Genomic DNA, 12,213 nt, shown 5'->3' on the forward strand with positions numbered 1-12,213 from the left:
TATTCTTTGGACGTGTACTGACACTGAGCTCATGGGGCATCCTGAGAGCCAGAGGTAACATTGGGCAAGGGCAGATCACATGTGCAGGGAGCCCAGGACGTGGCGGCTGTCGCGTGGTCATCCCAGGGACCACCAGGGGGTGACCTGGACCATCCTTCCGCCCTTTGTGCTGACAACTTCTGGTGAGTCTTTGGCCCCAGTGCCCTGCAGAACATCATTTCTCCCCCTTCCCTCCCGCGTGCGGATGGCTGTAGAAAATTACAACAGCTCTGGCAGAAATTACAGGTCTAATATGCGAACTCATCATGGTGACAAGGCTAGAAGCAAGGCAGTACCTCAAGGTTATGCAAACTCATCATGGTGACAGGGCTAGAAGCAAGGCAGTGACCTCAAGGTTGCCAGCCTTCTAATTGATTTTCATGTGAGCCAAGCCACACAGATTGGACACGTCTGATGTGGGCGACTGCTGTGGAATTGGGTGATCAATTTGGGAGGATATGTTTGCTTCTGAGGGTAATTAGCTCCGTTACTTGGCTTACCCAACCTCCACCTGCTGGACAGGAAGATTCCCCGGCTGGGAAGACCGGTTGCTGGGGCCGCTCTCAGAGTTCTGTCTCTGCTCCGACCCCCTCGACCCAAACCCAGTTGGGCCCCACCCAGATGCTGCCATGCCCTGAGGCCTGGGCGCCTATTCAGGGAGAAGATGCCCATTTCCTAATGCAGTGCCTCTGTGGCAGGACCACCCAAAGCCGCCTCCCGGGACAGACCTCATGGAGGTTCCAGAGTTGAGCACACTCTTGGATTCTTCTGTTGAGTATTTTAAATTAGGACTGCTCACTTTCATGCCTGGGTTAGCCTTTGTCAGACACTGTCAGGGCAGGCTGAGGAGCAGAGACTTCCTTTCTTTTGATCTTTATCCCTCCATCCACTTACACCAAACCTGAATCTTAACCCCCAAGCATGAAGAAGATTGCACTCCTCAATTAACTTTAAATCAACCCAAACTCGGCCCCGTCTCCCATCTGAGGTGCTGAGGGACGATGCAATCTGTCACTGTCAAGACATCTTTTCCCCCTCCGGCCAACGCCTCCCTGGTCCTGCCAGGTCTGGGGTGCTCTTGTCCCCGCTGTGTTCTTAAGATGCTCCTGGCAGGGCCTGTGGATCTTCCCTGCTTTGGGAGGCCCCAAATGGAGGGTTGAACCACTCTGGGTCCCCTGATCCCTAACTTCTTCCCAGGCTGCAGAGCTGTGCCCGTCTCCCGTCTTGTGACCCTCAAGGGCTTCCCCCAACACGCCTGCATGAACAGTTGTTGTTTTTTGCTAGTCCAATGTCCTCTGGCCTTCTGCTGGTGACAGTACCATGGTATTCCGGTGAGGTGGTCACCCCAGCCCACTCTTGGACTCCATGTCTTAAGTGTCTGTGTCAGTGGTCAAACAGGAGGCTGCTGTTGCCAGAGGCTGAGGAACACACCCAGTGCCCAGGCCCAGGGAGGTAAATGCTGGGGATGCCAAAGCCAAGGACAGAGGCGGAAGAGCTAGGGAGAGCCAGTTCTGTGGGAACCTAGGGAGGAAACCAGTGCCAGGAGGCTCCATCCAAAGGGCCAGGGTCAGAGTCAGGGCCACCGGCTGCCACAGGAGGCCTGAAGGCAGGTGGAGCCCCAAGTAAGGAGGGATCGGAGAAGCCTGGGGGACAGGGGGCTGCTCAGCCACAGCAGTGAATCCATCTTCCCGAGCCCACATTCACTGTGCAGGAAGAGGCTTTCTAAGCCCCATCAGAATCTACAAGGCCATCCTGTGTATCTGCTTGTTGAGGGTGCAGTCCTCAGGAGGATGGCATCCAGGAGGGCAGGGTCCTTGCCTATCCAGGGCTATGTCACCAGCCCCTAGGGCAGTGCCTGGTGCTTAGTGGGGGCTCTGTAAATACCTGAACACTTAGATCCTATACTGAGTCTGGTTTTCAGAAGCAATGGCTTTCTATAATAACTCAGAGATGATGTCACAGGGCAGCTCCTTGACTATCCGGGAGGCTGCCTTAGCTCCTTCCCATTCGAGGTCCTGGCACCCAGGAAGTACCATCATGTCTCTAGGGAGCTGTCTCAGGCTCACCCACACTGGCCTGCACCCTGGATCTGCACAGGGCATCCCATCCCTGCGTCCCCTCCCTGGGTCATTCATTATTCCCGTCACTCACCAGGCACACCGGCGCCTATTCCGTTGCCTCCAAGGAACTGCAAGTTGATAGGTGACACTCTGCAAAGACACCAAGAAACGTGTTGCTACAACCTGCCACGAGTGCTATGCAGGACAGGCACAGGTGCAGGGACAGGGATTCTGGTGAGGTGGCCTCTAAGTGGGGGCCTGAGTAATGAGGAGCCAGTACAGAAAGTGGGGGTGGTATTTCAGGCAGGACGTCTGTGCAAAGGCCCTGAGGCTGGTCAGCATGAGGAACCACCCAGAGGGGAGTTCCAGATGAGAGGGCAGGGAGCCTCTGGCCCCGCAGGGCCCTATGGGCACAGTAGGGAATGGACCATATTCTAAGAGTGGTGAGATTCTTCTGGAAGATTTTAAGATAGGAACTAACAATCTAATTTGTGTTTTAAAAGATTATGGCACCAGGCATGGTGGCTCACGCCTGTAATCCTAGCACTGAGGCTGAGGCTGGCAGATCACTTGAAGTCAGGAGTTCGAGACTAGCCTGGCCAACATGGTGAAACCCCGTCTCTACCAAAAATATAAAGAATTAGCCAGGTGTCGTGGCACATGCCTGTAATCCCAGCTACTCGGGAGGCTGAGGCAGGAGAATCACTTGAACCTGGGAAGCAGAGGTTGCAGTGAGCCAAGAGTGAGCCACTGCACTCCAGCCTGAGAGACAGAGGGAGGGGGACTCCGTTTCAAAAAAAAAAAATATTATGACATCCATTCTGTAGAGAGTGCACTGTGGGGAGCAAGAATGAGGCAGGAACCCCCCCAGGAGGTTCTGTCCGAAGTCCAGGAGGGAGACGGTGGTGGCCGAGGAAAGGGAGAGAATTGGACCCATCCGTGGCTTTGGGGTTTCATGGGGAGTGAGGAGGAAGTAAGAGAGGAGGGTTGAGGAAGATGGCCAGCAGGAGCGATGGGAGGGTGGTGAGGCTGCGGCCTAAGACCACTGGGAGAAGAAAAAGCACACAGCAGTGGGGAGGGAGCATGGGGTTCCATTTTGGGAACAATAGGTAGAGATGCCTGCAAGACCCACACGTGGAGATATGGAGCAGAATGGTGGAGAAACACACCTGGACACCCAGCGCGGGAGTTTGGGTTGGAGATGGGAGGAGGCCTCTACCCGGGATGCCAGCACGGCACCTGCAGGGGCTAAAAGAGTCTGCCAGTGAGACATGTCTGATTCCTAACTCCCACCACCTGGGAAAAGAGTCCCCCAGAAAGACGTGTCCCTGTCCCAACTCCCCCCACCTGGGAATGTGACCCTCTTTGGAAAAAGGGTCTTTGCAAGATTTGATTAAGTTAAAGATTTGAGCCATGTTCATCCTGGATTTTCTAGATGGGCCCTAAACCCAGTGACGAGTGACCTTAGAAGAGAACGGATTGGGGGTTGAGACACAGAGAGAAGTGGAGGAGGCCCTGTGAAGGGGAGGCAGGGACTGGAGTGGAGTGGTCACGAGAGACGAGACCCCCGGCACCGGAAGCTGGAAGGGTCCTTCCCCAGAGCCTTCGGAGGGGGCACAGCCGGGCTGACGCCCTGATCTCAGACTTCAGGTCTGCAGAATTGTGAAAGAATAAATCCGTACTGTTTTAAGCCATCCTGATTGTGGTCATTTGTTTCATTTGTTACAGCAGCCACCGACATAAATATGGCCCTCCAGGGAGGTTGGGGGAAAATGAAGGCTGGTTGGAGGCGACACAGCCAAGGTGGGGCTGCAGAACCACGTGGACCCGCTCTGCTCACGAGGGTGGGCCACAATCCCATCTGATTGGGGTGCCTATCAGAAGAGGGGGCGAGGACACAGGCACACACAGAGGGATGACCGCGTGAGGACTCAGGGGAAGGTGGCCAGGAAGAGAGGCCTCAGGAGGAGCCAGGCCTGCCACACCTTGATCTCGGCCTTCCAGCTGCCAGGACTCTGAGACAGTAAGTGTCTGTTGCTTAAACCACACATCTGTGGGGCTTTGTTAAGGCAGCCACAGCAAAGGAATACAGGTGGTATTGCACAAATTCCATTTCCCAGGGGCGGCGGAAGCCAGCCTGGGCCTGGATCCTATGGGACTAGGAAGAGTGCCCTGGGGTCAGGTGCCGTGGGAAGCAATGTTCAGTCTTTCAGGACTAGGCACATCCTCATCTGTCCCCAGAACAAGCCTGGTCCTGGTGACCTCTTCCTTCAGAGCCTTCACAGCCCCTGCGGGTGGCCACAGGTTTGCACCAGGTCCAACTCGGTAGGAAGCGTCACTGCTGCTTCAGGGAAAAGCTTGGCAAATTGAGTTCACGTTGCTTGAAGGGCCAGGAAGGTGGTGTTTCCTTGCTGAGTGTGAGGATCTTCCAAGTTTCAGCACCATTCAATTACAAATCACCTACAGTTGGCCCGGCCCCAGGAGACCCTTCCAAGGTGTCAACAGCACAGCCCACTCCTGGATTTACTGCCACTCCAGAGGCCGGTTCTCCTTGGTCAACTCAGAGCCACGGAGGAGCCAGCCACCGCCAGATTCCATGCCTCTCAGCATTTCCAACACCAACCCCACGGAGGAAGATCTGTCACTTACTGGTGATTTGCTTGTCTGGGGTATTAAATGCCATGGCTGTCCTCTTCCTGGGATGTCCAGCAGACAAGTGGCTGCACTTTCGCCCAGCCCTCCTCTGGCCAGTCGGTGGACTGTGGATATGTGGCATCCAAGAAGCAACCCCAGGGGAGGCTGGGAGGTGAATCAGGCAGCCATCCTACTTGCAGCCCAGAGACTTCAATAATATCCTGAGGCTTGGAGAAACGTGGGCTGAAGGCATGATGCCCTCTTGGGGCCCATGCAACTCCAGTGTTCATGGGGTCAATGCAGATGTGCACGTTTGGGCACATGGGCCGCACGACGCTGGCAGACTGCTTTCCTTACTCAACTACCGCACCTGGGGGAGGCATGGAGCCTGCCTCAAGGGCAGGGGCCAAGTGCAGATGGACACAGGGTCTCCTGTCATCCAAGCCTCTCATTTCTGCTGTGGTCTGTGTGATGCAGAGAAACACAGAACACATCTGAGGACCCATCTGCAAAATTGTCTGGGTCTGTTTTTCCAGCCTCTGGCTTTTAAACTTAGCACGTCCAGGTCCTGAGCCCCCTTGCCCTGGATGGTTCAGTCTCTCCTGTCTCCAGACAAGAGCAGTTGCAGGCAGGAAGCCGGCAGTGGCCTCTAAGGCCTCCTCCCTGTCCTTCTGGAGACCTGGCATGAACACTCCCTTCCACCTGGTGCAGGTGGCACCTCATAGCACTGTACCAATGTACCCCTGTCCCCACTCCCAGGCTGCACGTCTGCACCCCAGTGAACAGACAGGTTTGAATCCCTGTTCATGCCGAGCTGCCTGACTTCTGGTCCAGCCCCGGCTCCCAGCACCTTGCTCTGGGCCCAGCCCCTGTCATTAGCCTGACTTTGCTTTTGAGTCTGCCTGGTGGACTTGGTCTCTGCACCAAGATCCTGGGGACCGCCTGGGACTTGGCTGTGCATCCTGACCACGGTGTATGAGGAACTGCCCAGGACGCGGGCTCTGAACCCCATCTTGTGAGCAGGCGTCCTCTGCAGGCCCTGCTTGCCTGTACACCTGGCTGTGGGAGCTGGGCTGTGTTTCTGAGCGTTTGTTTCCTCAGCTGTAAGATGTTGGTAGCGATGGTCCCTGCTCACATGGTGGTTTCGAGGACCTGAGGAACCCATCCAAAGTGCTTTCATTAGGGTCACTCAGAGTGACCACTGCATTGCCCAAGCACGGTCAGTCCTCAGTCCCCATCGTGTTGGCCCCAGGAACGTGTGGGTAGTGCCCCCTCCTCCCTCTGTGGTGTTGGCTTCCAGGGCTCTGTCGCCCAGGCTAGGGTGCAGTGGCATGGTCACAGCAGCCTCAAACTCCTGGGCTCAAGCGATTCTTCCATCTCAGCTTCCTGAGTAGCTGGAACCTTAGGTGTACACCACCATATCCAGCTAGTTTTTATTTTTTTGCGAACGATGGGGTCTTGCTTTGTTGCCCAGGTTGGAGTGCAGTGGTGCAATCATGGCTTACAGCAGCCTTGAATTCCTGGGTTCAACTGATCCTCCAAACTCAGCCTCCTAAGTAGCTGGAACCTCAGGTGTGTACCACAATGCCCAGCTCATTTTTTTTTAATTTTAAATTTTTATTTATTTATTTTCTTTGAGATGGAGTCTTGCTCTGTCGCCCAGGCTGGAGTGCACTGGTGCAATTTCGGCTTACTGCAACCTCCGCCTCCTGGGTTCAAGTGATTCTCCTGCCCTTGCCTGCTGAGTAGCTGGGACTACAGGCATGTGCCACTATCTCCGGCTATTATTATTTTGTGTGTGTGTGTGTATTTTTAGTAGAAATGAGGTTTCACCATGTTAGCCAGGATGGTCTCAATCTCCTGACCTCATGATCCACCTGCCTCGGCCTCCCAAAGTGCTGGGATTACAGGCATGAGCCACTGCGCCTGGCTCCTATCTTCCTCTTAAGGCTGGAACAGCCCAGCTGGACATGTTCTTTCTCTGCCTGCAGTCCCTTCCTTGCTGCTCTGCTCCAGGCGTGTCTCTCGTTCCACCCAGGTGCCCACACCCCCAGCCCAGACCTTCCTGCACTCCAGCTATATAGGCCTGAAAGCTCATGGCTGCATGTATGTCTGCCAGTATTTTCAGTCCAGCTCCTAACTGTTCCTGCCAAAGGTGCCACACTGGATCCTGCTACATCTTGGGTGGTGGCACCTCCAACCTTTGGGTTCGTTGCTCAGTTTAAAACCAGCCTCCCTCACTGTCTCACACCCAGATCAAACATGTCAACAAGCCGGGCATGTGGGCACAGGCCTGTGGTCCTAGCTACTGGGGAGGCTGAGGTGGGAGGACCCTTTGAGCCTGGGAGGTCAAGGCTGCAGTGAGCTGTGATTGCCCCACTGCACTCCAGCCTGGGTGACAGAGCAAGACCTTGTCCAAAAAAAAAAAAAAAAAAAAAAAGTCGATTCTGTTAATTCTGCTTTGAAGCTAAATCCCAGCATGAACACTTCACAGCCTCACCACTGCCACCTCCCGGGCTGAGTGGCTGTGTCATCGTGCTTAATTGTTGCAGTAGCATCTTCTCTGGTCTGCCTGCTTCCACTCTTGAGTGCTTAGAGGTTCTGTGCGGCACAGATCCTGGTGTGATCCTTTAGAGCAGTGGCCCCCATCCTTTGTGACACCAGGGACTGGTTTCATGGAAGACAATGTTTCCACAGACAGGGAGGGCGGGGATGCAGGGGGGATCTTTTTGGGATGATTCAAGCACATTACCTTTATTGTGCACTTTATTTTTGTTATTATTATTGTGCTATAATGAAATTACACAACTCACCATCATGTAGAATCAGTGGGTGCTGTGAGCTTGTTTTCCTGCAACTAGATGGTCCCATCTGGGGGTGATGGGAGACAGTGACAGATCATCAGGCATTAGATTCTCATAAGGAGTGGGGAACCTAGATCCCTCACATGTGCAGTTCACAATAGGGTTTATGCTCCTATGAGAATCTAATGCTGCAGCTGATCTGACTGGAGGCAGAGGTCAGGCCGGAATGCTTACTTGCCTGCTGCTCACCTCCTGCTGTGCAGCCAGGGTCCTAAAAGGCCGGGGATCATTACCCCTGCTTTAGAGGGTGGGTCACAGCATGTGACTCTGTTCAAAACCCTAGAGGGCTCCCCATTTCTCCTTGAATAAAAGCCAAAGCCCTTAAAAAGGCCCACTGGACCTGCCCCAACTGCAGAAACCCCATTCCTTGCATTCCCTGCCTGGCCTTGTCTCCTTCTCCCCCCATCACTTGCTCAGCTCCAGCCCCACAGTCTTCCTTGCCCTTCCCCAGACTCCCCACCCATGTACCCATCTGCCCTGGAGTCTTTGCATCAGCCATTCCTGTGTCTGAAATGTTCTTCCCCATGCCACCTCCTCGCCTTGACTCATACATCACCTTCTCAAGGTGGCCGTCCCAGACCACTCTATCTAAACGTGTCGTCTGCTCCCAACACTCATCCCAGGTCCCTGATTGCCACTTTCCTTCCTTCTCCATGTTACCACCCTTTGACAGTGACCTATTCGTTAGGAAACTGACCTCTTCTCCAGGTCAGTTCTTATCCATCAGACATATTGTTAGGGCAGGAATCGGTCCCCTTGAACTCTGTTATGCTCCAAACGCCTAGAAAAATGCCTGGCATGGACTGGGGCTGGCTGGATGTTTGATGGGTAAAGCACACGTGGGAGAGGTGACTTCCTGCGTGACCAGGCCTGTGCATTTCTGCCGGCCTCAGTACACACTGAAGAAACAGAATTCTAAAATGACAGCCAGAGGTGGGCCAGCCACTCGATTCTGTGGTGTCACAGTGAGGTCCGGGGGCCTGTCCTCCTCCCCCCACCTCTTTCTTGAGCCCAGCCTGCTGCTGCCTTGGCTCAGCTCCCACTTGGTGCCCCTTCCCCACCTCCACGCTGAAGGTTGGAGAGGACAGAGCCAGGTGCCCACGCACACGTGACGTCAGAGGCCTCCACAGGCAGCAGAGGGGCAAACGGCTGACAAGGACGTCTCATGACCATGGACATACCTCTAGGTTACTTGCATACTTTACTTCATCATGAAGCATTTTTCAATCTGAGAAACACTCATGAGAAATCTAATTCTCAACACAGCCACCAATGGCCAAGGAAATAATGCATTGGTGAAAAAATGGAATCTCTGATTGTGAGGCAGAGCATCACAGCATTTAAAATAAGTGAGTAGGCAACGGTGGGCTTTCTTGTGTGTTTCTTGGGAAGTCTGATGATGTCCAGTTCCGGATATTTAAATTGTGCTGGGAGAGGTCCCACGAAGAGGCAAATTTTGCAGAGCAGCTCCCATCACCTTGGTCTAGCCACACAAGGCCCCTCAGATGGAGAGAATGGAGGGATTACCCCTCCCTGATCCCCAGAAGCACCTGTGGCGTCTCCCTGGGTAGGGACCTGAGGCAGGTGAGGTGGGTGGACCAGGTGCTCTGTTCTCTGAAGGCTTCTTTCTTCCCTGTGCAGCTCACTCCTGGATCCAGCCCCTCCTTCCCATGTGGGTCAGAGTCTCTGGGGAGTATGCACAGTGACCTGGAGGCTCTGATGGACCGGGCTGTGCCGGGGTTCTCACTGCTTGAACAAAGATTGATGGAGATGAATGACTGAGGAACCCATGACACTCCATCTAATTTTTCTATGAATGCACATGTGCATTTTCCTGGGAGGAAGGTCAGTTCCTCTCATCAGATTCTTAACATTTTCATAACCCCTGAAATGTTCACACCACTGATCTAACTGGAGAGAAAAGCTGCTCCCACCATTTATTTCATGAACACCAGCTATGTGCTGGGCAGGAGCTATGACATTTCTCTAATATCATCTCTTGGATATGGGGATGATTCTCTCAGCATTAAAGGGGAAAACACTGAGGCCTGGAGGTGCCTACAGACTCACCTGAGGCCGGCAGACACTGGGAAAACAAAAAAGCCTCCTGGATCCGAGGCTAAGGCAGGTCCCTGAGGACCAAGGGGCATTCCTGCTGGTGTTCCCTGGATAGGGGCATTCAGGAAAGAGCTGGGATTTGGCCAGAATGGGAAGGGCAAACAGCAAGGGTGCCAGGACCAGCCACCCAGTACTGCACAGAAGGTTGGCCACCAATGCCTGGGGCACCTGAGGTGGGGGCAGGGCAGAGAACTCAAATATCTGTGAAGAAACAGGCAGGGTGGCAGCAGCAATGGAGCATGAGTTCAGAGTCAGGGGCCAGCTTCTAGGGTGACCCTGCATGCCTCGGCCGCTGCCCCTCCCTGACGGGGTTCCCCTCCTGTAGAAGGAGAATGGGGGCTTACTCACCCAAAGGCTCCTCCTACTTCCTATGCTAAGCCTTGCTGGGAGCCCTTTCATGACAAGGGGCTACAGATGAGTCTCCAGGGCTGCACTCATAGACTTGGGGGTATGAGGCTGGGGCTGTGCCATCAGCAGATGGCCAGTCCAGCTTTCCTCCTGCTTCTGAGTTTTGGCTCAGCCTGGGGACACCAGAGCAGAGAAAACTGCCTCTTCCCAGCCCACATCCTGGGAGGACCAGGCAGACGCTTGATTCAGTGCAAATCCTGGGGCCGCCTCCAACCTCATGCTAAGTGTCTCCACCCTACTCCTCTTCCCACATATTGCAAACCTGCCCAAGCCACAGGACAAAAGGGCTCCCATCTTTTCAGGGCTCATTGCCTTGAGGGTGCTTGGGCAGGAATCAGGCCTGATGGGCACCCTGGGCACTGGCCATAGAGGCCACAGCTGTAGCCCCAGCCACAGCGGCAGGTGGGACCATCCAGCACTTCCCCAGATGCTTGGCCTGCATGAGGGACATTAAAAGCATTGCAGCTTGATCCTGAAGATAGATCCATAAAACTGTAGCTGAAATGAGATAGCAAGTGATGGGCCCGCCTCTCCCTTTTCGCTAATCTCTTTATTCAAGCTCAATTTGGTGTTGAAACGCACCCCGATGCAAACCCTGCCTTTGCCAAAGAGATTTAGAAGGGCAAGGTAGAAGATTATGCAGTTTCACATTCCAAAGTGTGTGCATAAATCTGCATATCACATGCATATATTACAATGGATCATAAGTGCATAATCAACTCAAAATAATAGGTTTTTGTTTCTTGCATTTTTAAATTTGTTTTGTACAAATGACATGGATCCTATTACTCGTAGCTCTACAATGGAATTGTGCTGATGACTGGATGAAGAGTTGACGCCAAAGCTCCTTTGGGAGGGAAATACTTTGGGATTCGAGGTGGGCAAGGATCCAAAGACTAGCACAGTAGGTTTCACTGTGTCTGCACCCCATCCCTTTCTTGCCCAGAGCTGAGTCCAGGGACTAGTCTTAGCACCAGGAACAACTCTGGCAAGACTCTGGGTTGATTATCCCTTCTGTGCCTCAGCACCCTAATCTGTGAAATAGGCACAATTTTTAAACATTTTTTTCCCTCTTCCTTTAATGAAAATCACCAGAGTCATCAGTCAAGCTTCAGCTGCAGGAAACAAACACAATCTAGATTCAGAGTTTAAGACAAGAAGAGTGGACTGGCCAGAGTGGCCAGTCCTTGGCTGGATATCCAGGAAAGTCTTAGGCAAGAAAATGGGGAGAAGAAGGCTGCCCTTGGAAATACTGACTTCCAGAATGTTCCATGGGGCTGTGATGCAGGGGTCAGCTGCTGCCACCTGCACGGCTGCCTCTTGTCACCAATAAAGCAAGTGGCCATAGGCTAAAAGCTCAACATCCCTGTGGTGGTGCCCATCACAGAAGCTGAGAGCAGCTGTGGCTCACACAAGTGTATAATTGGAGGAAACTCATTTTCATACAATGCCTAATTTGCATACAGGGCCCACACTGCAAGGGCACCTGGGAAATGTAGTTTTTAGATTTCTGGCATCTGCAATACAAGAAGCCCCCCCAGAAGGGGTTGGATGGCCGAGGGCCCTTTCACCAGGCCAATTACACCTGGCCAGCTGGGCACTGCTGGCCCACCAAGAGGCTGACTCAGTTCCTATCCCTAGCTCATTACACTTCAGTGACTGGTGTTTCCTTGCGCAGTGATTGCTCTCAGATACGGGAGCAACCCAGTTCAGAGTGATGGAGAGCTGGGTTCTGCACTCAGACTTGGGCTCTCACCTGGACTCCACCCCTTCCTAGCTCTGCTGTCTGGGGCACGTTACAGAATTTCCCCAAACTTTAGTTCCGTCCGCTATGATGGGGATGGGATTAAGACAGAGGACTATTGGGAAATACAGAGGGCTATTGGGAAAACCCAAAAATATGATGTGTATAGCATCTCACTCAGTTCCTAGCAGGCAGTAAGTGCTCAGTAGACACAGGCCATGGTGGTTATGGAGGAAAACAAGGATGGGGGGTTGGGGAGTGGTCACTGTGGTACTGGACAGACTGGTCCTAGAATCACACACAGGGGTTGGGCCTTTCAGAGTCACCAGGCAGTGTTATGTCTTGA

The sequence above is a fragment of the Homo sapiens genome, chromosome 11 (assembly GCF_000001405.40).
Source record: "Homo sapiens chromosome 11, GRCh38.p14 Primary Assembly".
NCBI lineage: Eukaryota > Metazoa > Chordata > Mammalia > Primates > Hominidae > Homo > Homo sapiens.